The sequence below is a fragment of the Homo sapiens genome, chromosome 6 (genome assembly GCF_000001405.40).
Source record: "Homo sapiens chromosome 6, GRCh38.p14 Primary Assembly".
Lineage (NCBI taxonomy): Eukaryota > Metazoa > Chordata > Mammalia > Primates > Hominidae > Homo > Homo sapiens.
In genome coordinates, this window is record NC_000006.12 from 100,470,645 (window position 1) to 100,497,639 (window position 26,995).

The 26,995-nt window shown below is 41.1% G+C and overlaps 2 annotated features.

Moving 5' to 3' along the window:
- Window positions 12,089-12,383: a silencer, noted in NCBI's record as "tiled region #3240; K562 Repressive non-DNase unmatched - State 22:ReprW". NCBI's record gives its function as "represses a minimal TATA promoter and a strong SV40 promoter by Sharpr-MPRA in K562 cells {active_cell/tissue: K562}" and the evidence as "EXISTENCE:reporter gene assay evidence [ECO:0000049][PMID:27701403]".
- Window positions 14,049-14,158: an enhancer, noted in NCBI's record as "active region_24866". NCBI's record gives its function as "activates an Ori minimal core promoter by ATAC-STARR-seq in GM12878 lymphoblastoid cells {active_cell/tissue: GM12878}" and the evidence as "EXISTENCE:reporter gene assay evidence [ECO:0000049][PMID:35858748]".

Sequence of the window (26,995 nt, forward strand, 5' to 3'; positions counted from 1 at the left end):
CAGATGAGTGTAATTCAGATTGGTTTCATTATCATATATTCATTATTCTTACATTTTTTTTTCTTCTGATGGTAAAAGAAATAAACAGTGAAACATTTTTCTCAGGCCGTAAAACTACATGGGCCCTAGGCACTGTGACTATTGTGTGAAATGGATAAGTCAGTGCTGCTCCTAGGTACACCTGGGATGATATGGATGCTGGGCATGCCTTTTCCCAGCAGTGGTTCCTAAGCCCCTTTCAGATGAGAGAGGTTTGGGATGACAATCTCTATCCATGAGTCACAGCTCCATTTCTGGAATGAAGCTGTTCATCTCCTCAGGGCTCCCACTGCAGAGTCCCTCCACCCTAAAACCGAGTGGAAAATCCAGACCGATTAGACTACCAGCACCATTTCTTATCTTAACACCTGGCCTGCTTCACTTATTTTCCTTACCTAGAAATCCAGATTATTAAGTGAAATCCAATTTTAAAACACTATGCAAACCAAGCAAGTGGATCTTGGGCTACCAATTTATGTCTCCAGCTATACAACTACGTAGCTTCTTATTACTCTTCTGGAGTTTCAAGCAAACATTAAGATTTATATTACACACACCGTTCTGCACCTTGATTTTTTTTCACTTTTCATGACAGTATACAGAAAGCTTCTTCATCCTTTCTTTCCTAAACATCTGTATAGCATTCCAGAAAATACCAGTATAAATTATTTAACCTTTCACCCACTGAGGACATTTAGGTTTGTTTCCCATTATTGCTTCACAAACAATGCTGCAGTGGATAACTGTACACATGTCATTTACCTGTGTACAAGTACACCCACGGGACAAATTCCCAACAATGGAGTTGCTATATTGAAGGATACATGGATTTGCACTCCTGATAAACATTGCTAAATTGCCCTCCATGACAGTTTTGCCAATTGACACTCTCATCAGCAATGTGTGAGGGTGACTGTTTCCCTACAATCTTCGAATGAAGCACATTATTAACTTTTTTCCCAGTCTACTAGATGAAAATTGATTTTTAATTTTTTTCTGTTATTAGGGAGGTTTGGCATATTTTCATATGCCTAAGTGCTGCTTGCATTTTTCTACTGGAAACTGTCAACCCAAATGATTTGAGGGTGGGGGCCCTCTTGGCTCTGAGGTGGGTAAATCCTTGGGTAGGAGGTTGAGGTGGGGTCTGGTTTTAAATACAGTTGAACCATTCTTGAATCCCTGGGGTGAGCTCACTGGTCAACACTGGGAAGTCGAGACAATGACAAACACAGGTTCAAGGTTCTGGAGTAATCTACTAACAATTTTACTCACATGAAACATTTAATATTCTTTCATAGAAAACACAGAATAAGATAAATATGCAAATATAATTCTAATGTATCTTCATTCAACAGATCTCCTGTCTAATTATAATCAATTATATTGTACATATGTTAAAACAGTGGTTAATTTCTGGATTCTGTGTTTTGAAATTCAGTTGTCCCAAGTTGATATTTGATCAATCTGTTTCTGTATTTTACCTATAAACACATGGGAGACTTTACCACAGAAACAACTCAAGCATTAACATATGCCAGCCAATCACTTCTCGTGATTTGAACAAATAACTTGGAGGAAACAAGGGGATAGACTCATCAGCAGTTTCACAGGAGGAAAAGCCATAATGGTCTGGTTAAGAGGAGGAAAAGCCATAATCATCTGGTTAAGAATCTAAATAAAAATGATACGTAGGAGAAAGCAGGGGAACACAAGTGCACTGCAAATGTGCAGCCCATCTCAGTTTAGATCTGCTTTGATATTTATTTTCACTCCTGGAGATCTGATAACTAGCTTGTGAAGATAAATCTTGTACCACAAGCCATTGTGTATTCTCCTTGAATAATCAAAAGTCACAGAAAGGAAATCTTGATGGCAATGTGATTGTTTTACTCCAAGCCAAACAATATAAATGGGTATTACAATTTTACATTAACTTTCCTTAAAACTTTTAATTTTCTATTCATTGTAGGGCCTCAGTGCTTCAGAATTATAACATAGTTTTATATGAGATGGCACTCTCACTTTCTTTCTCCCCCAACCCCATAAGAAAGACATGATAATGAGAAACTATTCCAGCAGGAGGAGCCGGTTTAGATACAAATGGATTCCATGGCAACTCCTGACTCCACATGACTTCTAATAACTGGCATTTCAGTTGAAAATTGTCTGTCTGTTATTCTGCTCAATGCTGGTGCTTTATATGGGGTTTTCCCTAGTTTACATCTCAGAAATGGAACGTTAATCTCCAGTTTCATGAATAAGCACCGGCAGCAGCAGCAGCAGCAATGTGTCATCACCTGTAACCACAATGTGGCCAGTGATTTGTCAAGTGTTTCTGGCTCCAATTTTCAGACTAGCTGACAGAGGTGAACACTGAATAGGAAATATTCAGAGCTGGTATCACATAATGTAGAAAATCTGGAAGGTGTGTTCCACTGCAAATTGACAGAAAGAGTCAAATGTTTTTATTCAACTCAAGACAATGCATGCATCAGGCCCCTGACAGCAGGTTGTGAATGTTGGGCTTTGTTGAGTCAGAGACCACTGCACTGGAAGAGGAAAACTAAACAAGGATAAAAATATCTGGTGTACCCCCGTCTTACTTAAAACTCTCTGTTTTGTCCCAAAGCTGAGTGATCTGCTGATCTCCCAATGAGTACTGGCACCACTGTCATGATGATAAATAAGATGATAAGTGTCATGATGATAAACAAGAAATGTGTATAGGACAGGTTTGTAAAACCTCATGTCTAAGTATTTTATAGATTTTTAGTCTAACACAGAAAAAAATTGGGTCACAAATGAGTCAAGTGCTCACTCTTGGAATCACTATAAGTCAAGGATGGATTTGGGTACAAAAGTGATGATGAGCTGAGTTTACTTTTGAGAGCTCCTTCCATAGCTTCTGGATCTTATTGAGGAGGTTGTGTCTCATCCATGCAGGTAAGGACTGAAATTCAGCCCTGGCTCAGTCCTGTGTCCCATCCAGAGGGGGGTCTTTTTCTAATTTGCACAAAGGCACTGTATAGTCTAGCAACAGCCCTCGCAATACTATCCTCCTTGCTGATTCAGGGCTCATGTGACACACTTCAAAGAATGTTTGTTATGATGTATTGGAAATAATCTTGCAGTAGTTTCAGTGCTTAATGGGTGACCAACAAATAACATTTCATTCCCAGGGAGTATAAGAATAGAGGTGACAGAGCAAATTTGTTTAGTGAGGGCATATCCCAGAGAAAGAAGAGAAGGAAAAGAAATGCTTCTGTGAGGAAGAAAAAGAGATGGACACATGGAGGTGGGAAGCACCAAGGAGAAAGTTTTACAAAAAGATTGACGTCAACCTGTTTAAAATGGTTCCAAAATCTATTGACCAAATTCAGGGGGAAATGCTTTAAAAAGAGCCAAGTATGCTTATTTTGAAAATTGCATTAGAGAATTAGCTTGTGCATTTTTAAAAAGCAACTTAAATATTACTATAGCTTTGACTAATTGGAAATTTGAGAAGTATAAACCCAGTAAGAACTCTTGCTGTTTAGCAATGTTATCAGCTATCAGTTCTTCAGTGGTCAGCAATGCTGTAGTTTATGTAGGACCTTCACATCTTTTTCGAATGAGCTGAAACCTGGCCAGTGAGACAGTGTATTTGAAGTGCCTGTGCAGTGACCAGAATGTGGTGGGTGCTCATTGGAGGAGAGTGCTCACCTCACTTCCCACTTGCTCTATGATTTCAGCATGGAAGGAGTTAATTGGAACTTCTGTGAGTTTGTAACTCTCTACATTCCCATGAGGATGGGGACAGATGATATTCCCCCAAGTTTCCAAAGGGAAGGCTGAAGAACAGAGAGCTGAGTAGCTTACCCAGAACCACGTAAGAATAATGTTCACTCAAGTAAGTATTTGCGGGCTTTCCCTCGAAAAGTGAAAAAGACCAAATAAAAAGAAGTTAAAGTTAGATGTATTGGAAATAAGGACAGTAACCCCAGGGGAAAACATCCCAATTGAAAGCTGGCCTGGATTTCTTCTTGAAACTTTTTTCTTCACATTTATTTATTTTTTTTTTTTTTTGAGAGGGAATCTCGCTCTGTCGCCCAGGCTGGAGTGCAGTGGTGCAATCTCGGCTTACTGCAAGCTCCGACTCCCGGGTTCACGCCATTCTCCTGCCTCAGCCTCCCGAGTAGCTGGGACTACAGGCGCCCACCACCACGCCTGGCTAATTTTTTGTATTTTTAGTAGAGACAGGGTTTTACCGTGTTAGCCAGGATGGTCTCGATCTCCTGACCTCATGATCCACCTGCCTCGGCCTCCCAAAGTGCTGGGATTACAGGTGTGAGCCATCGCGCCCTGTCCTTTATTTTTTCAATTTGGAAATAATTATGGATTTACAGGAAGTTGCAAAGAAATGTACAGGGAATTCTGGTGCACGCTTTACCTTGCCTGACCCAGTAACATCTTGCGTAACTACAGTATGTATAAATACCAAGAAAGTGACATTGGTACAATTAACAGAGCTCATTCAGGTTTCTCCAGTTACACTTGTACTCGTGAGTGTGCGTGTGTGTGTGCCTGCGTGTGTGTATCCGTGTGTGTGTGCTCATAGACCTATGCAGTCTGATCACATGTGTAGCTTAGCTTAGTGTACCATCACTACAATTAAGATACAGAATTGCACCATCACCACAAGACTCCCTTATATTACCCCTTTATAGCTACAGCTTTCTCTTTCCCTCCATCCCCATCTCTAAACCCTGGACACCACTACTCTCTTTTCCATTGATAATTTTGTTTCAGGAATGTTATGTAAATGGAATCATATATAATGTAACTTTTCGAGATTGGTGTTTTCACTCAGCACAACCTCTTGAGATCAGTTCATATTGTTTCACGTATCAGTAGTTCATTCCTTTTTATTTCTGAGTAGTATTCAACGGTATGTATGTTCTACAGTTTTTTTTTAACCGTTCACCCTGTTGAAGAGCATTTGGGTGGTTTCCAGTTTTTGTATATTATACATAAAGCTGCTATGAGCATTGCTGTACAAGTTTCTGTATGAACATAAGTCTGCATTTCTCTGGCACAGATGCCTGAAAGTACAACTGCTGGGTGGTATGGGAAGTCCATTTTTGGTTTTAAAAGAAAAAGTAAAAGTATATTTGTGACTGTACCACTTTACATGCTTACCACCATGTATGAGTGATCCGTTTTCTCCACATCCTCACTAGCATTTTATTTATTTATTTTTTTGAAATCGTGTCTCTCTCTGTCACCCAGGCATGCTGCAGCCTCGACTTTCCAATCTCAAGTGATCCTCCCACCTCAGCTTCCCAAGTAGCTGGGACTACAGGCATACACCACCACGCTTGACAAATTTTTGTATTTTTTGTAGAGAAGGGGGTGTCACAGGGTTACCCAGGCTGGACTCAAACTCCTGGGCTCAAGCAATCCAGCCGCCTTGGCCTCCCTAAGGGCTAGGATTACAGGTGTGAGTCACCGTGCCTGGCCAGCATTTGACGTGATTTTTTTTATGTTAGCCATTCAGATAGGTCTGATATCATTGTGGTGTTTGTTAGTTTACATCTTCCTAATGGCAAATAGTGTTAGATATCTTCTCATGTACTTATCTGCCATCTCTGTATCCCCTTTGGTAAAATGTCTGTTCTTGTTTTTGTTCATTTTCTAATTGAATTGCCTGTGTGTGGTTTTTTACAGTTGAGTTCTGAGATTATATATATTCTTTGTTTGATTTGTGATTTGCAAATATTTTCTCCCAGTCTGTAGTTTGTCTTTTCATCCCCTTTACAGAGTCTTTCACAAGCAAAAGTTTAAAATTTTGATGATGTCCAATTTTTCTATTTTTTTTTCCTTTTCGAAACTTATCTTTAAAAAGCAATAGGACAACATCATCCACAAGGGAATGACTCAGTGTCAAAACTACAGCTTTTTGAAGCTATTTCACCATTGCAATGGAGAGAGGAATGGCGACTCCAATTCAACAGATATTTATGAAAGATTTTTTCCAGTGAACAAAACAGCAAAGATCCCCACCCATGTGGCATGGAAATTCAAATGGGAGAGGTAGGCAACGAACATAATAAAGTTAATTACATAGCAGGTAAAAGGGTTGTAAATGCTCTGGGAAAAGAAAAAGAAGAGCAAGGAGTATAGGACGCCGATGGGGGATGTTTGCAGTATTGAATAAGGGTATTGGAAGGGCTTTACTGAGAAAGAGAAATTTGAGCCAACTTGAAGGAGGTGAAGGAGTTAGTCAAGTGGATATCAGGAAGGAGAGGACTGCTAAGACCATAATGTGGGGTGTGCCTGGAGGATTCATGGAGTAGCAAGAAGGTCAGTGTCCATGGCAGAGTACAGATGGGGAGGAGGAGAATGTAGGAGAAGAGAATGTAGGTGCAGATCACATAGGCCCTTGGAGGTCATCATAAGGATTTCACGAAGTGAAGTGAGGATACGCTGCAGAATTTTGAGCTGAGGGATGAAATGATCTGACTTGTTTTAACAGGGTCACTCTGGCTGCTGTGTTGACAGTAGTTTGAAGGAGGGCAGAACAGAAGCAAGGAGATGCGTAGGAGACTACTACAGGGATCCAGTGCAGGGGTAATGGTGGCTTCAACCAAGTGATAGCAGAGTAGGTGGTGAGAAGTGGCTAGATTCTGGATGTATTTGAAAGTAAATCTAACAGAGTTTTCGGTGAAATGAGTGTGTGGTGAGAGAAAGCAGGAGAAGGAAGACTTCAAGATTAAAGTTAAAACATAGGCCCAGGCGCAGTGGTTTACACCTGTAATCCCAGGACTTTGAGAAGCTGAGGTAGGAGGATCACTTGAGCCCAGGGGTTTGAGACCAACCTAGGCAACATAGCAAGACGTTATCTCTACAAAAAATAATTTTGTAAAAATTAGCCGGGCATAGTGGTGTGTGCCTATAGTCGCACCTACTCAGGAGGCTGAGGCAAGAGGATACCCTTGAGCCCAAGAGTTCAAGGCTGCAGTGAGCCATGATTGCACTACTGCACTATAGGCTGAGTGACAGAGGGATACCATGTCTCAAAACAAAACAAAACAAAAGTTAAAACAGAATAAAAGTGGCCCACAGTATAGGTTGTGAATAGAAAGTTAATGAGAGAGAGGGTCAACAAAAAGGCAGTTCAGCCTTTGTGGGAGTTAATTTAACAGTATTTTTTTTAAATTCAAAATGCATATCTATGCTTTGGTCCAACAATATTTTTATTTTAAGGAATTTATCCTTCAGAGATATTGCACATGTACACAGGTATATGTAAAAGGACTTAACTACAGACCTATTTGTAATAGTGAGAAACAGAAACAACCTAGACATCCACCAGTAGGGAAGGGAATGGTTTATATATTATGGTACATTCAAACTATAAACCCCATGCCACGTTAAACTGCATAACATAGGTCTAGTTAAAGCTCTCCAAGTTATATTGTTAAATGAAAAAAGCAAGCAGCAGAGTACTACATGAATTGGGCAAAGAAAATTCTCTCTATATCCACACTTACGTATCTACATATATGTAAATACTTAGGGATAAGCCTGGGATGATACATAGGAAAATCTTCAAAGGAGCAAGGAATGCATGGAAAAACACATTGTACCCTCTTTATACGTTTAAACAGGCACTCAATATTGTTTTAATTAAACACATTTAAATGAGTATACTATATCAAAAGTTTTTAAAAGTAGGGTAGAATAACTATTTCTTGCCAGGTGCGGTGGCTCACACCTGTAATCCCAGCACTTTGGGAGGCTGAAGCGGGCGGATCACCTGAGGTCGGGATTTCCTGACCAGCATGGAGAAACTCCATCTTTACTAAAAATATAAAACTAGCCGGGTATGGTGGTATATGCCTGTAATCCCAGCTACTCGGGAGGCTGAGGCAGGAGAATCTCTTGAACCCGGGAGGCGGAGGTTGCAGTAAGCCAAGATCGCGTCGCTGCACTCCAGCCTGGGCAACAAGAGCAAAACTCTGTCTCAAAAAAAAAAAAAAAAAAGAATTATTTCTCGTTAATAAAGTCTTTTTTTTTTCACTCTGTCACCCAGGTTGAACAGTGGTATGTAATCATAGTTCACTGCAGCATCAAACTCCTGGGCTCAAGTGAACCTTCTACCTTAGCCTCACTAAGCAGCTGGAACTGCAGATGTGAGCCACCAAGCCTGGCCACTGTAAATTAAAGTCTTCACTACTTTCCTTAGAGTCCCCAGGGGATCCTGACCCTCACTCTGGGAAACAACCCCCCTTTCACGATTAGGGAGTAAGTGTTGGTTAGCCAGGGTGAAGGGCAGAAATGAGAGAGTCCAAGGTCATTCTATTTACAAAGGCTCTGGAAGAACCACTGGGGCTTTCCTGTGAGTGATACACCCCAAAGAATTAGTTATTCCTACCCCCTAATCCTGGATCACTTTGTCACTTTCTGCCTTATGTTGAAGTAGCATAAAGTGGCAGACAGAGACAGTACCTGGACTCTAAGGAGCTGGGCTCCAGTCTGCCGCTCCCCTGGTGTCTCTGAGCCTCTGTTTTCTTATCTATGACATCGGGGACAACAGCAAAAGTCAGATGAGAGATGTTGCTGGAAGTGCTTTGCAGGTGGAAGGCTCCCAGCTGTCAGCACTCTCAAGGCAGGGATGTGTCTTTCCCACTCTAAACCAGGGTGTGCTATGTTGTAGGAACTCTGAAATGGATCCTGAATAAATGCATCTGGTGCAATTTCATGAGGTATTCTTGCAGATGAATCAGACTAAGTATCTTGTGAGATTATTACATGGTTTTTTTTTTCATTTAAAATTTTTGTGAGAGTGTTGTTTCTGGATCCATTTAGATTTCTTGTTTTCTTTCTTCAAATTTCATTTTCATCTCCATTCCAAGTGACATTTACTTGCAAGGGCACCCAAGGACAGAATGACAGCAGTACAAGTTTGCCACCTATAGGTGGACATTTTCATTACAAGTGTTTTTCTCTGACCCAGACAGTGGTCTAAAAACACAAACAAAACCCAAAAACTAACAAAAAACCAGTCATGCACAAAACACCCCTGTGACTTTCACTTCAACCTTACTCTTCACATGTTTGCTTTCATTATTCCCGTAAGTGTTGGTATGAATTAGGGTCACCAGCAATGATTTTTGTAACTACAAACTGGTATAACTTTTGCTCTATAAAGATTTGTCTTAAATGTTTTATTATATTTCCTGTCTGATCAAGGTAGATTGGATTTGACATAAATGTTCTATCTCTTCAGAAAATGAACAAAAAACAGATCTAGATCACTCTGCCTCACTGCATGTAATACAAGTAAAAGCATGGGCCTGTGCAGGTATAAAATGTGACACAGACTCTTGAGTAGTGCTGGCCAGTGGACGAAGGAACACAGGACTTGTTTTATATCTGAGCTCCATCCGATCATGTCCTGACACCTGAGCATCCATTTGCTCATCTATAAATTAAGTGCTGGGACTGAATTTTCTATGCAGTTCCTTCTAGCTCTAATAAGCTAAACTCGATGGGCTGAAGTAATTATAATAACAATGATTTCTAGCATTTATTAAGGTCTTACTAGCTGTCAGGCCTGGGCTAAGAATTATCTCATTTGATCTGCGTGGTAAACCTATTAAATAAGTGACACTATTACAAGTAAGAAAACTGAGACTGAGGGAAATTTAGTAACTTGCCCCAAATTATAAGAAAATATGTGCTATGGTCAGAAGTTGACCAGTGACTACCTACTGCGCCCATCATGACTTTAGGCGCTATAATATATATCCAGTGAGTGCCGTTCCCTTTCATATAGTCCCTTTGGAAGCCCACCCAGATATTCTAATAATATTGCCATTACTATGTTTGGATCACTGTTTTGGACACAAAGTAGCCCACACTGGTGGGCTATTTTTTTTTTCTAAGAGACAATGTCTTGCTCTGTTGCCCAGGCATGGCATAATCTTGGCTCACCCCAGCCTCAGCCTACTGGGCCCAAGTGATCCTCCTGCCTCAGTCTCTTGAAAAGCTGGGACTACAGGCACATACCACCATGCCCAGCTAATTTTTAAAATTTTTTGTGGAGACAGGATCTTGCTATGCTGCCCAGGCTGGTCTCTAACTCTTGGTCTCAAGCAATCCTCCCACTTTGCCCTCTCAAAATTCTGGGATTACAAGTGTGAACCACCATGCCTGGCCAAGGCGAGCTAATTTGAATAAAACAAAAAAGCTGGCCTTACTGATGTTTGGCCATCTCCAAAATAAGCAAATGATTAAGCCAACTGGTATTTTTCAATTTATCTACGTCCAATGTATGCTGAGCACGTAATTCTTCATACAGATGGAGACAAAGGCACAGGGTCTGTAAGACAGGATATGCTGTGGGGTGAAGATGTGGGGACTACCAAAGGTCATAAAAGGGAGCCATCACCCAGGGCATAGTGTGCCTCAAAGGAGGAGTGGAGCGTGGGCAGGTCAAGGCTTGGGGTATGGGAAAGTGGAAGAGCTGGGAGAGTGCAAGTAGGTTTAACCAGAGAAGAGAGTTGGTTGCTGGAATCAGTGAGAAAGAATGCTGAAGTCTGGGGCCCAGTGGAGGAGGGCCTTTTGTGCCAGGCTACGCATTATGAAATGCCTTGAAATCCCTTGGTAATGAGGAAATGATCAGTGCAGGGGTCTTGGATGGCCCTGCCTGAGTCTTCATCTCATCTCTGCCCAGCAAGTCCCCTGGGTGATGTTCTTTACCCTCAAGGTATTAGCCATCACCCTACTCCATGGTTGCAAATATTTCTTTTTGGCTTTGAGCCCTCCGGATACTCCAGACCTGTGTTCATATCGCATGCTAGACACATCCACTAAATGATTGTTTTCCTTAGGGCCCTCAGATTCAGCATGGGTGGGCACATACAACTAATATGTCCCTCCTGGTTTTCCTATTTCAGTTCATGGTCTCAACTTGATCAAAGTCAACAGAATCAACCCCTGAATGACATCTTCAGATCTCCCATCTTGCTCCTTTCCTAGACCCCACCAATCCCCAAGTCCAGTCATCGGTGCAGCTTCCCTGGTTGGAGCACACAGATTTTGGAGTCATACAACGAATTTGAATTTGAATTCTGACTCTATGTGGCCATATTATTAGTTGTGAGGCCTTTGCTAAGACATGTAATCTGACTGAGCCTCATTTCATCATCTGTAAAATGGGTAAGATGCCGATCTACAATTTAACCATAGGAATTATATGAGATACCGATATAAAAGAACTCCTTCCCCTTCAGATTCATTCTCTACCCTTTCTATCCTGCTCTATGCCACAGACACTGAACCCATGCAGGGACTCCAGAGGGAAGCGGGGTTCCCTTCAGCTTCTGGTTGGGTTTAACCAGTGGGTAACCATTGAGAGATGGGGGAGAGAAAAGCTGGAATGTTCATTGCATCATCCTCTTCCTGCCATGGCTTTTACATGATCATATTTTTCTAGGCCTTGACTTTGGTGGGCATTCCCTCTTCTATAACTATGGCTCTCACCAGTTGAGGGAGTCCATCTTTCTCCTCTTAGCCTTTCAGACCTGGGTCAAGATCTTACTTTTGCTAGTCCCTCAGTATTTGGCATCCTTTGGTAATATCTGAATCCTGATCCACTTCTGTATACAGTTCTTTTATTAAACTATTTTCAGTTAAATTTTGTGCATATGCCCATCTGTTCCTGCTGGAATCTGGCTATGACAAGGTGCAAAGGGCCTTTTGGAGAAAATGATTTGGCAGCAACCTGCAGGATGCAGGATGGATGACAAGGATGATTTCCACCTAGTGAAAGAGTACCGATGAAGGACTGGGCTATGAGGGGCAGCAAAGTGAGGGTGGAAATGAAGGGCAGGTGTAGATGTACTTTCTTTGCTGTACAGAGTGCCTGCTCTTGCCACAGGCTACCTTGTCTAGGTGACATGTCTGTTTATTGTCTGCTTTCAAAGCCCAATACTACTTTTAAGTAATCAAGAAACCAAAAAATAAATTTGAGGAATTGAACACCTGATGGGCTCTCATAGCTCCAACAAAGCTCTAATCTTGTTTAGCCAGCTCCAGCCCTGTCCCAAGCCTGGTTGTAGCTGATCTTGTGTTTAATCAGGACTATAGAAGTCTCTGTTTCTCTCCCACCAAAAGCAAATATTTACCTTTCGTATTCCCATAACACTTCACAGAAACCCTGATTTAGAACTGACCATGTTGACTTTGAGGGCAAGGACAAACCGTCTGGGTTTGGCTTTGGTCCCCTAGTCCCCAGCATGCAGAGCCAGTTTATTTTACCCCAGCTCTGTGGAAGCTCAGTTGAGTGTCTAGGTTGAAGAGTGGCTGGAGTAGGCATGGATGAGAATAAAGGGCAATGAATTGCAAGCTGTGGCAAAACCCATGTCCATGGTACAGGAGGAACCTGGTGGACCTGTGTGCTTGCCCTTGTCAGAATGTTACAGCTCACAGGGCAGGAGGGGAGATGCCTTTCTCACCCCAGCTGCCTGTATGCTTCTTAGCCCTTAGCATAATTTTGACTCTGCAGAGGTGCACAATAAATGTTACATTAGTAAGTAAAAGACATCATCCAGTTTATGCTCTTGAATTGGCCAAAAGATTGTTTCCAGAAGAGAGACATTGGAATGTTTTATTCTGGAAAAACAGTTATACAATTTTTGTTGTGTTATGTTTCGTTTTATTTTGTTTGAGACAAGGTCTCACTCTGTTGCTCAGGCTGGAGTACAGTGGTGTAATCACAGCTCACTGCAGGCTTAAATTCTGGGCTCAAGCGATCCTCCCACCTCAGCCCCCCAAATTGCTAGGACTACAGGTGTGTGCCACTATGCCTGGCTAACTTTTTCACTTTTTGTAGAGATGGAAGTGTCCCTATATTTCCTGGGCTGGTCTTGAACTCTTGGCCTTGGGTGATCCTCCCACCTCAGCCTCCCAAAGTGCTGGGATTACAGGCATGAGCCACCATGCCAGGCCAGCTATACAGTTTTGAGTTTTATCTTCTTATCTCGTTTAGGGATTGTTAAGAATAATTAATAATATACACCTTTATTTGGGCAGGATCCATGATGGGTTCATCAATGTGTTCCCTTAGGGCTTAGAGTATAGTATACATTCATAAATTCTTGAATTTATTGTTGTTAATTAATTTCTTAGACTTGTCTACTCTTCCCCACCACCTGCAATAGAACATTTGCAGTTTTTCATCTGCCTTTTGAAGTACCTAACACAGATCCATTCCCCTGAGACATAAGGAGCTCATTATAAACCCCGAGATGTAGGTAGAATGGCTTAATCTAGGTCAACTGGAGAATTAGGTAACTCAGTCAGTACTGAGTGTCCGCATCTCACCAAAGATGTCAATCTATGGCAGACACTTTTCCTATCACAAACTTGCAATTTGGCTTAAATGAGACTTTCCTAACTGAAGCATATTTTGTACTTCATTCTCTTACTTCTGGCTTCACCTGCTTCCAACCCACCTTCTTCCTCTGTAGCAGAGAAAAAGCCTGCCCTGGAAAATGTGTGGCCACAGCAGGAGTCATCGGGCAGGACCCACCATTGCACCCTCCACATCCAGCATGGATTTTCTCCTCTGTCTTTTCCCCTGGCTCTCACTGACTGCCTTTCAGGACTAGGAAATACATTGTAAAGACTGCTCTAATTGATTCCTGGATTAAAAGGGATGGTCTGAGAATGCTGTGATAATCTCAAGAGGAGAGTGAGACCCTGTCCCAAGTAAACGCTTTCCTTTTTGTTTTTCATGTTTTGATCTTATGAGCCTTGACTAGGCTCAGTTAAAAACAGTGGCAGCCTCTTCAAAGGGGAACACCAAGCCCTTTGAATGGGCTAATTCTGCTCCAGGTTCCCGCCATCTACCCGCCCTTGACAAGCGCCAGTAGAAGTCAACAGGTGGTTGTCCAAATATAAATGAAAAGGCTTAACTCTAAAACATCGCTGTCTGAGGGGATTTTTAGAAGACTTTACTCTGTGGTTTTGGCAGTGACCGTGTGTTTCTTTGCCAGCACAAAGAGAAATTTGACCTGTGTCTCTCAGGAGTTAGAGATTTTCATCACTGCTGTCCCCACACTAGACCTATCAACCCCTTCTCCACCCCAACAAATCAGGAGACTCAAAGAAGAATAGTGAGGAGAGAGAGAAAGAGAGAAAGGCTGAAGAAACAAGGGATGGAAACGGTACAGGAATGCTTAGTGAGTCTATATTTTATTCCGTTATTAAAGTCACATTTGTATGTGTCAAAAACAGGATATTTTGATGTGTGAGCAGAGTGGGAGGAGAGGTATTTTGCAAGCAGATTTCTCTCAATAAATTTTTCTTTGTGCTGACAATACAGTGACAAATTAGTAGAGTTATCTATATAAACAATGTGTATTTAAGTTACCACCAGCTTGTGAAGCAAAGATTGAGAAACAAGCAACAGAGGAACAGAGGAGGGAAGGCCCACAGGGTGTGATATTTCCAGTTATCCTGAGCCTTCTTTGGTACTTTCCCTTTCTTAGGCAGCCAACCACCAGAAAATACTGACTCCAGGCAAAACTCATTTTCCAGGGCAGATTCTGTTCTGTTTCAAAGTTGCAGCAAACTTGTCAGTAGAATGTGCTATATACAAATATTATTGAGAACTTAGGGATTCAATTCAGAATCTAACTTTATATTCTCCAACTTCCTGAGCAAGTGATTCACTTGATACTAGTTTAGAAGAATAACTGTCTTCACTTTCCATTTTGATAAGCCATTCTGAGTGGTTAGTGATGTCAAATAACCACTGAAAGTGATAAATATGACACCTTTTCCTAATCTAGAGGCACAAAACTTTAATTATGTAAATAATATAAATGTCAAACTCAATTTACATATATTAATAAATTATATGAATTAAATAAAAATACTCAGGTAAGCATCAGTGACAAAGGTAAACACTCACATTAACAGTAGGTTAGCATGGCATCCATCGTCCTCCTTGTTCATGGGGTGGAAAACCTCTACCCCAATCCCAAAATATCAGGTTGGGTCAGTAGGTGGAACACTCACCCTTAGGAGCTGCCATCCAAAAGACTGTGCAGGCCGTTCCCTGTGCCTCTTAACTTGGAGTTTTCTAAGATGCCTGAGGCTCCTCCTCTGAGTGTGCTCCTCCGTTATGGCCCAAGGGAACACACACCGTGTTTTAGCCTGATGCCAATTTCAGATGGGCTCATGACAGCTGACCTCTGTGGAACAGGCACCCCTGGTAGCCTGGGTAACTCCACTGTGTTCCCAAACACTAGGCTAGGATCCCATCTCAGCCTGCTGTGGCCTCAGCATGGAGCAGGGAAGATGCCCATGTAAGTTCTACTCAACTGAATTTAAAAGGCAGGCTTGGACGATGGGGAGATGCACAGATGCTCCAAAGGAGTCCAGAGAGAACATCATTTCTAAATAACTGTATCCCTTTTCTTCCCATAGAAACCAACATAGATCTTTCCCCAGAATATAGAAAAATTGCCACAGGAACTGAGCCAAAAGCATGCATAAACACTGTGGGTGTAGAAAAATTTTGTTCCTTGTCTCTTGTGATGGCATGGCAGAGATTAGCACTTGATAACCTTAATGGTCATGCACTTTTGAAGTAAGTAAAAGTCTCTTAATGAGCTCCTAAATTAGAGAAGAGAGGAGGCCCAGCTAACCTCTACATGTTATTGGAGTCAGAAACATGGTAAAGCTACAACTTAGCACTAATCTTAACAGCTTACAAATGCCAGAAAATATTGTAAACTAAAGAATAAGGCTGTCCAGCAAATCCACAGTGGCCTTTCTACTAGCTAATTAGTTCTGTGAGTTCTAAGAGAACTAATTTTACACACTAGAAAAGAAAAAAATTACTGATCCCAAGTGAAAGGAGTAGTATCATCAAGTCATGAATGTCTAATTAAAAGTTTTTGAAAAGCAGCTAGCAAAAATGGAATACTGAGATTTAGGCTCAAAAAGAGAAGGGAAGCTTTTCATAAAGCTAAGTGAACACAATCATCTTGGGAAAGAAAACACCTATTTTAACAAGGCTACCATTGTGCAAAATACACTTTCAAACTTCTCTTTGGGAACTGGTTTTGAAATCAATGACTACAGAATCTCAGTCTCATCTTGTTATTTGACCAAAGCTGTTTTTACCTAAACTGATCACATCGGTTTGGGGCCATTTCCAAAAATTAAATTTTCTCTCGAAGAACAACTGTTTACCACTACTGAGGAGAAATATCCCTCAGGTTCTGAAAATAATTCTGAAAGGGAGTTTTTAAAAAACTTGTGGCAATAATTGCTTTGGAGATGACTACATTGAAGGAAATAACAGTAATTTAAATGCAATTTTGGGGGTTTGCTAAAAGTCGGATTGTATTATAATTATCCCTTGTAAATTTGAGTATCTATATAACCAAATTCAGGTAAGTCTTTTTAACTGAAGGAAGGTTGTTGAAATTTGTACAATTCCTCTTGAGATACAAGAGAAAAAGAAATCTTTTTCCTTCCCCCTTTAAAACATACTGGCATGTTAAGAATTTTGCTTTCAGGTTCTTCATCTTCATGAAAATAACTTATATCACCTGCTAAGTCTATAAGTTTTGGCCAAGAAAAATTATCTCCCTATACTTATTTTTCATTCTTTTTACTCTCTTCTACAGCCTGTTACAATCTTTGATTTCTAAATTTTAGAGATTTTAACTGATTTTTTTCCTTGAAATAACTTTCTTGATCATAGTCCTTAAGCTGAGAAAGTAGGGCCCACTTGGGACAAACAGAGATAACAAGCCCTAAAAGGAATCGAGGGAAGTCTGAAGTTCTGTAAGAATTTCCCAGATACCTATCAATTGCAGAAATGTGGGAGCAGAATTGGCCTCAGCTCTAAATCATCGTTCCTTCATTCCTCCCAAACTTCCATACCACTGTCCTGTCTCTGAAAGTCACATTGACATCTCTGGAACCACTGGAAAATTTTCAGAGCCCCAAAGTTTTCCAAAGTGCTGACTTAGGAAGCTGGCTTGCTTGGTGTGCATTTATAGAACTTTTCCATGGGTTTTCTATTCATGTGGTGAGGCAATCAATATGGATGAAGTGATTATATAAAGCTCTGACCCTTGCCTCATTATGAAATAACCACACAGATCAATCATACCTGGGACCTCACGGGGCATTTGGGAGAACCAACTGGGATGGGATAGGAAGATAAGTGGTGATGATTTCCTGGAAGTAAATAAATAATACCTTCAAGGGATTTACACAATCTACTTAGAATCCAGCGGGGCAGAGGTAGCAGGGTAAGCAGGGAGATTCTTTGTGTCAGCACCGCCAGGGCGTTGGGGTTCCAAGCAGGGACAGGGTCCTTGTGCAGGGCTACCTTGTTGCCTCATCCTCCCCTCCAAACTCACTTTCTTGAGCCCCAAAGGATGGCAGACATGGATAAGACAGTGTGCTTAGTGCAGTCAATTTTCAAGGTGAGAGTATGGGGTGGACAGTGGAGCCAAAAGGAACACTTTGGGGGTCAATGTTTTCAATCTTGCCCTTACCGTATGTTAGTTGCACATTCTTAGGAGATTTACATAGCTGCTCTGGGTGTCTAGGGCAGAATGGAGAGGAATGCCAGAGCTGATGACAGGACTCAAAACAGAAAGGAAGTAACATGTGTGAGCAGTTGCTTCATACCATTATAAACCACCCTCATGTTTAACCCCCGTGAAAGTAGATGTTATGATTTCATTATACCACTGGGAACTGAGAGTTAGAGGGCCACGTCACACAGGCATTGCAGAATCACCAGGCCTGTCTGACTCCAAGTCTTGTGCCTTTTCTGCTACCCCATGGGTCTCAGTGCAAGTTAATTCCTCTTCAAGAAGATTCCTAAAAACTAGAGGCAATGTGGGGCGATGGGGAGTCGGGTACTAAGGGAGGAGACAGACTCAATAATGGTCTGTGGAAGGTGCTGGTGCTTTATGGGGACGTGCTGGCAAAGGAAAGATGTGTTTTCAAACCCATGTCCTTAATACCAGCCAAGGTCAACCCGAGAACAATTCGAAGTGGAAAATTACACCCGGCAAATTCTGTAGCCTGATCCTAATTAGGAGCTAACCTCTTTTATTAGGTGAACTTTTTCTTTATTCGTTCGCTGTGGAGAATTGGCAGGAATTTGTTAATGAAACAGAATGCTAATATATGTAGTCCTGTAATTTGTGGATGATCAAGAAAAAAATTTTTATTAGAAAAATAGGGCTTTTATTTCTACTTTTCTTTTTTGTGCATTCAAAATCATTAATTCTTTAAACATGTTCTTTTGGTGTTAGAGAAGTGAGGAATGAAACCACTTACTTATCTCAGGGAATGCTTTCACATCTGCCCATTTGTTTAGTCTTCATTGTTTTGGAGTTTCAATTCAGCAATCATTTATTCAGTTCCCAGAGGACACTGAATGGCACTGTCTGAGGTGGAGGTTACAGCCCCAAAGGAACTTATGACTGAATGAAATCAGTGCAGATGTACATGTAGACAAGTGAGAGACAATGGGAGTAAAAATACCCCAGACAGATTTATAACCTATGTCTGATGCCATTCCTGGGGTCTCATTGACTGTTCTGGGCTCTTTTATCTCATGTGGCCTCTGAGTGGGGAGGAACAATTGCTGCAGAAGTGCTAGAAACACACTAGATGCCCTAGTTTCTCCTTGTTGTGTAGTTCTTTTCTAGTCCACCACAAGACTGCTGAGATTCTGCGCCTTGTCTCTTAATTGGAGGTGATTGGAAATAGTGTGTCTCTCCTTGATGGTGTGCTACTGACGGTACTAAGAGGGCTGTTCTTCTCAGGAACAATTCATGGATCATCTATGTGCTGGGCATTAAGAGTAAAAGATGAAGGAGACCTGGCACCTGCTCTGAGGGCTTGAGGGGGTGGTTGCCCTCCACTGAGCCATGCAGATCCATACATGCTTTCAGCATCATGGCAGGTGCAGCCACGAGGTACAGGCAGGACGAGGGAAGAGCAGGGAATGAACATTCAGTCAGCCTGAGGAGATGCCTGTGGGCTGACACTTGAGGATAAGCAAGAGGTCCACTGCCACAAAGGGGTGGAAGGTCTGCCAAGCACAGAGACTAACTGAGCCGGGCCTATAGGTGCAGGAAGCATGAGAGGACTAAGAGCAGGGAGGCAAAATACAAGGCACTGAATGAGGCAAGAGCTGCAGGCACTGAGTCTTTGCAGGATTCACCAAGAGCCTCTGAAACACAGAAGTTACAGGGAAGGATTGATTGCATTAGTTTCCCACGGTTTCCATTAAAAACTATCAAAAATTGAATGGCTTAGAACAACAGAAATGCATTGTGCTACAGTTCCAAGGGTTAGAAGTCTAAAATCAAGTTGTCAGTAGGGGGACCATACTCCCTTGAAACCTGAAAGACAGGGGTTCCAAAGCCCCAGGACACAAACCAGTAGTGGTCCCTGGCCTGTTAGGAACAAGGCTGCACAGCAGGAGGTGAGCTGCAGGTGACCAAGTGAAGCTTCATCTGTGTTTACAGCTGCTCCCCATTGCTCGTGTTACCATCTGAGCTCCGCCTCCTGTCAGATTAATGGTGGCATTAGATTCTCATAGGAGCATGAACCCTATTGTGAACTGTGCTTGCCAGGGATCTAGGTTGCACACTTTTTATGAGAATCTAATGCCTGATGATCTGTCACTGTCTCCCATCACCCCAAGACAGGGCTGTCTAGTTGCAGGAAAACAAGCACAGGGCTCCCACTGAATCTACATTATGGTGAGTTGTATAATTTATTTTATTATATATTACACTGTAATAATAATAGAAATAAAGTGCACAATAAATGTAATGCACTTGAATCATCCTGAAACCATTCCCCTCCCAGTCCGTGGAACAATTGCCTTCCAAGAAACTGGTCCCTTGTGCCAAATGGTTGGGGACTGCTGTTGTAGGGGAAGGATATTCCTTTGCCTTTTCTGGCTTCTTGTAGCCCCACATGCTCCTTGTCTCATGGCAGCATAACTCCAATCTCGGCCTTCTTGTTCTAGTGGCATCCTCTCTGTGTCTCTTCACATCATCTGCCTTCTATGTGTGTCTGTCCACACCTCCCCTTTTGATAAGGACAGCAGTCATGTTGGATTAAGGCCCATCCTAATGACCCCTTTTTAACTGTGGAAGGCACTGTAAAGACCCTATTTCCAAATAAGTTCACATTCTGAGGTCCTGGGAATTAGAACTTCAACATATATTTGGGGGGAACACAATTCAACCCAGAACAGGGGTGAAAGGAGAGAAATCACCTTGAGATTTTTTTTTTTTTTTGAGATGGAGACTTACACTGTTGCCTGGGCTGGAGTACAGTGTTGCAATCTCGGCTCACCGCAACCTCCGCCTACTGGGTTCAAGTGATTCTCTTGCCTCAGCCTCCGGAGTAGCTGGGATTACAGGCGCCCACCACCATGCCTAGCTAATTTTTTGTATTTTTAGTAGAGACGGGGTTTCACTATGTTAGCCAGGCTGATCTCAAACTCCCGAGCTCATTATCCACCCGCCTCGGCCTCCCAAAGTGCTGGGATTACAGGTGTGAGCCACCACGCCTGGCTGAGATTTTTTAAGTAGAAAATGCACAAAAATAAAACCCCTTTCCCGGAAATATTCAGTTTTTCTCCCTAAAGCACAATACTGAATCTGACTTTGTTTTAATCATCCTTTTATACGGAGCCAGCCCTGGTGACCATCCACTCAGGTTAAAGTCATAGAAGACTTGAGGGCTTTGGGCACAACTGTGACATCTCCATACCCTGCAAACCCTTCAGAGAACCTGTGTCTCCTCTGAGGAGGGTGTTTTCACATGTGTGAACAAGAAATAACCCCCTTTTCCCCAAAGCTGTCCTTGGCAGGAAATTAAAGCTTTCTCCTTAACTCTCCACGGACCTCTCAGATGTACAGCTAGTGAAGCAGCTTGTAAAGGAAACAGTAAGTGCTATGTTTTGGTTTTGTTATGTTTGTTTGAGGCATATTATGATTTTGAGTGTTTTTTTTTAAATCAAACATTTTCAAACAACTATTTTTAATGGAAAAAACTGTGTAAGCATAAGGTTAAAAAAAAATCAAATGGTGCAAAACATTAAACATTAAGTCTCTCCCTGCAGTCCCTTCCTCAGAAGCCACTGCTCATAAATTCCTCTGATAGCCTTCCAGAATTATTCTATGGAGAGCATTGAGTTCTTTAGACAATGCACATTTAGTAACGAATGTGTTGTTAAATGAATAGCAGTCTGGGGCGGAGGCTGTAAAATATTCTCCAGCAGGGTCTGTTAGACGTCAGGGACTGGGTTTTACCGCTGAACTCATTGCCTGAAAAATACCTTTAATTTCCTAGATTCTGTGCTTACTTTGCTCTCTTTCATATCAGCTTTCCCGCCACAGGAAGGCATTTGTCTGCCTAATGACCTGCAAGCAGGAAGGATATTCGGTAACCTCATTTTGTTCTGTTGACCTTCGCCGGAGACACCTCAACTGATCCTTTTAAAAGAAGATGGGACAATGAGCATAATGGGTGCTCAAGAAAACTTTCAGTTCATTTTTCTCTGTCAGTTGATTGTCTATTTTAATCCTTAAGCCTGTAAGTTTAAATTTGTATTTGTTCCACAGTCATCTTTCAAACACTTCTGATACACAAGGCTGTGTGCTATGCAGGTGAGGAGACAAAGTAAACTCGTGTCCTGAGAGAGGCTCTGCTGTGGGGGCAGGCTCGGGGGGAGGCCGCAGTGTGCAAGACCGAGGTGGAAGCTGCACAGGACCAAAGGGCCAGGGAGACTGCCTATGGCCGATCTTTGTTGCCTCTTCTGCTCAGAAGCATCTGGATAATACAATTTTGGTTGCAGATTTTGCTTAGTATGTATTTCTTCTATTGATGCACATGAGTTGTGGTATATATTGTGAGAGAGATATGGATTGCTTCTAAAAAGGATTCAAATAATGAAGGAATGTTATACGTGATCTTTTTGATTTTTCTTGAATAAATCTTAGGTTGTGGTGAAGTGGTTACTGCGGTGCTTTGACAAGCCTGACATCCCTTTAAATAGATCACCCATTCGGGTGTGCATCAAAATGACAGTCATTCAAAGTCCTTCATCGTGGGGGTGTTGCTGTATTTGCATCTCTCATCAAAGCTGTCTTTTCTTTATTTAGCACTTTTATGTTTCAACGGGGGTGGTAGTGGTGTTGGGGGTGCTTCGCTTCTATGGCTATAGCTAAAACTGGGAGGTCATCATTTGCTAGTTTCTCTTTTCCTATCAATATGTGATAGGAAATATAAAAACATCAAGAAATATGTTTAATACAAATAACTGAGCCTGCTAAAGTGATACCATTTTACCAAATACACTTTATGGGAGGAATAATATTTAATATCAGCTTCAAAAGTCTGTAAATCAAAAATAAAAGAGAATCTTTTAAGACCTTTGTCACATCATGAAGCATGCAGGCACGCTTGTTAATTCATGATGACATTTTAACCAGTCCTGTTTTGCCAGGAGAGATCATGACAGGGCATGTTCCCATTTCTTAGGAGGTTTACAACTTCAACTTCACCCCTGTAGTCCAAAGAGAGTAACAGGCATCTCAGGAGCCCCACTGTATAGCCGCGGGGCAGAGCCGGCCATTTCCTGGCTCAGGAGGGCAGTGTGAGGAGGGGCTCTGCATCTTGACTTTTCTTCATGTGACTACTAGAGAATGCACCTGTGAGAAGTCTCCTACTGAGTCACAAAAGAAACATCTATTGGGAAATTCTGCAGTACTTCTCATCTTAGAACAGCAGAGAAGGAAAAGCACGCTAACTAGGTCAACTTTTTTCAAATCAGGGCTAATTATGAGAAACTGCTACCTGTGTGCCTCAGCTTTGGATTGGAATATGCTTCAATGGTCACCTTTATTCTACAGTTCCAATATCACCTACATAGATCAGTTTTTGTGGAGAAATCCAGGGCTTCACCTTGGTAGATTAAATATTGACTTAAAAATGTAAACATGTCATACTAGTGTAGACAAATCATAAATTCCTCGTGTCTAATTTATTTTGATTACTGAAGAATCTGAACTTGCATATTGGTTGGCTTTGTGATTTTTATGAAATTAGAAATGATTAGCTGAGAAGTGAGAAAAATATTTGTTGCAGGAATTTTACTTGTAGTAGCATATATTGGAAACAAATATAAAAGCTCATGAACTTAAAAATGAGTGAATAAACTATGATATATTCATACATGTAGTTAAACTACAGCTTCATGTATCAACATTGATAAATCTCAACAACCATATTCAGTGAAAAAAGTTTACAAAATTCTAGACTCTGCCATACTAGTTGTCTATTGCAGTGTAACAAAATACTTCCAAATGTATCAGCTTAAAAGAATACATATTTATTTCATCATAGTTTCTGTGGGTCAAGGCTCCAGGAGTGGTTGAGCTGGTTCCTTCTGGCTCAGGATCTCTCATGAGGCTGCTTACAGGCTATCTTCCATGGCTATTTGCAGGCCTCAGTGGGTCTACTTCCATGTATACTTATGTGGGTCTTTCCCCAGGGCTGCCCCATGACAAAGTGGGACATAGCAGCTGGCTTCTCTTGTAAGTGATCAACCAAGAGAGAGCAAGACAGAGAATACCCAAATGGAAATTAGTCTTCTTATCACCTACATTTGGAAGTGACATCCCATTATGTATTCTAGTCATTAGAGGTGAATCTCTTAAGTCCAGCAGACACTCAAGGGGAAGGGATTGCCCACAGGTGTGAGCACAAGGAGGCATGGATCAATGGGCGCCATCTTGGAGGCTGCCCACCACAACTGCTGTGTACTACTTTTGGATATACGGTATGTGAGAATAGTATAAAAACACAGAACAAAATTATGTGGTAATATCAGTAATAGTTTAAAACATGTACACAAAAGATAATAATTCAGAATAAGGACTAGCTCTGGAATGGAAGAAGAGAACAGCATTGGAAAAGGGTACATCAGGACACCAACTATACATCTAATGTTTTATTTCTCTTTATTAATTAAGTGTGGAAAATGTTATAATTCAATAAATTTGGGAGACAATAGAGGGATGTCCGTTTTGTTAATTTCTCATTTTAAATAGGTTTGAAATATTTCATCATAAAAAATAATGAGCAAATTACAGATAATTAAAACCTTTTTATGCTATTTCCTTTGGGCTTGAAAGGTTGGGTTCAAGTGTTTGGCAAACAGATGTCGGAAATGAGGGAGAAAGAAGACTTGGCTCTTTGGTTTCCAGTTTTGCTTGGGTTTCACTTTACTGGGGGCTTGGGTGTCACAAAGTGACTGCTACTCAACCAATCAATAACATTTTAGCATTGTCTTAGGCTGAGTGTCAGGGATGCTAATTCACCCTCATACTATGAGAAGACCTGACTCTCACCTAATTTGCGGGTGTGGGTTCTGGCAGAAAAAGGAGTAGCAAAGGATGCACGAATGAAAATTAGTTGCTCCACCCCATTTAATAAAATATCTAGAAACAATGATTTCCAGATTGAGCATTTAATAGGTTATTGAAGTATGTTTTCAATGGGATAAACTGGTGAAATGATTTGGTAAGCTTTCTGCTTAGAAAGTTTGCTTTTGCTTATATAGAACTCTGACTCCATAGTGTATTATCCTGAACTTTTAAATAAACCTGTGGGTGATGTATTAGTCTGTTCTCACACTGATATAAAGACGTACCCGAGACTGGTTAATTTATAAAGGAAAGAAGCTTAATTGACTCACAGTTCCACATGGCTGGGGAGGCTTCAAAAAACAATCATGGCGGAAGGTGAAGGGGAAGCAAGGACCTTCTTCACATGGTGACCAGAAAGAGAAGTGCAAGCAAAGGAAATGCCAGATGCTTATAAAACCATTAGATCTCGTGAGAACTCACTCACTATCATGAGAACAGCATGGGGGAAACTGCCTTCATGATCCAATCACCTCCCTCCCTTGACATATGGGGATTATAGGTCCCTCCTTCCACACTTCCACATGTGGGGATCACAATCTGAGATGAGATTTGGGTGGGGACACACAGCCAAACCATATCAGGTGCCATTTGTTTTTCTTGTAATTTATCATCTTTGATTCAAAGCAGTTGATTTTTTTTTTAGTGCACATTTTGTGTTAGGGTAAAAAATGTATATAACATAAAATTTACCATTTTAACCATTTTATACTATATAGTTTAGTGGTATTAAGTGCCTTCATATTCCTGTGCAGCTACCACTACCATTTCCTGAACTCTTTTCATCTTGAAAAACTGAAACTCTTTACCCTTTAAACAATAACTCCCTATTTTCCTTCCTCCCTGGCCCTGGCACCACCATTTTACTTTCTGTCTCTGTAAATCTGACTACTCATATATATGAGGTAATTTATATCAGTGGAATCAAAGCATATTTATCTTCTTGTGACTGGCTTCTTTCATTTAGCATAATATCCTCAAGTTGCATCCACATCATATCATATGGCAGAATGATATTTCATTGTATGTATGTACCACATTTGATTATTCATTCATCCTTTGACAGACACTTGGGTTGCTTCTAAGGTTTGGGTATTGTGAACAATGCTGCTATGAACATGAGTATACAAATATCTCTTCAAGACCCTGCTTTCAATTTTTCCGGAATTGCTGGATCTTATGGTAATCCTGTTTTTATTTTCTTGAAGAACTGTCATACTGTTTTCCACAGTGGTTGTACCACTTTACTTTCCTACCAACAGTGGATAAGGGTTCTAATTTCTCCACATTCTCACCAACACTGGTTATTTTTTGTTTGTTTATTTTATTATTTTTTGGTTAGCCATCCTAGTGAGTGTGAAGTGGTATCTCATTGTGGTTTTGATTCTCAATTCTCTAATGATTAGTGGTGTTAAGCATCTTGTCATATGCTTATTGGCCATTTGTGTATCTTCTTTGGAAAAATGTCTATTTAAGACCTTTGTCACTTTGAGAATCAGGTTATTTTATTGTAGAGTTTTAGGAGTATTCTGGATGTTATCTCTTGTCAGATATATAATTTGTAAATATTTTCTCCCATCCTATGGGGTATCTTTTTACTCTGTTAATAGTGTCTTTTGATGCACAAAAATTTTCAATTTTCTTGAAGTTCAAGTGTCTATTTTTTCATTTATTGTCTGTGCCTTTGGTGTCATAGACAAGAAATAATTTCAAATCCAATCCGAGATATTTGACTTTTAATTATAGTTGCCACTTTTCTTCCTCTGTTCACCAGGGTAGATTATTTTTCTGCCTACTTACTGAATCTATAAAACATGTGCATAATTACAGTTTTGGTGTACTTTATATATCCCTTTTTTCATTTTAACATCTCAGTTTTTTTAATACTTTAAGTTCTGGGATACATGTGCAGAACGTGCATGTTTGTCACATAGGTATACACATGCCATGGTGGTTTGCTGCACCCATCAATCCATCATCTATATTAAGTATTTCTCCTAATGCTATCCCTCCCCTAGCCCCCCAACCCCCTAACAGGCCCTGGTGTGTGATGTTCCCCTCCCTGTGTCCATGTGTTCTCATTGTTCAACTCCCACTTATGAGTGAGAACATGCAGTGTTTGGTTTTCTGTTCCTGTGTTAGTTTGCTGAGAATGATGGTTTCCAGCTTCATCCATGTCCCTGCAAAGGACAAGAACTCATCCTTTTTATGGCTGCATAGTATTCTATGGTGTATATGTGCCACATTTTTTTTATCCAATCTATCATTGATGGGCATTTGGGTGGGTTCCAAGTCTTTGCTATTGTGAACAGTGCTGCAATAAACATACGTGTGCATGTGTCTTTACATTAGAATGATTTATAATCCTTTGGGTATATACCCAGTAATGGGATTGCTGGGTCAAA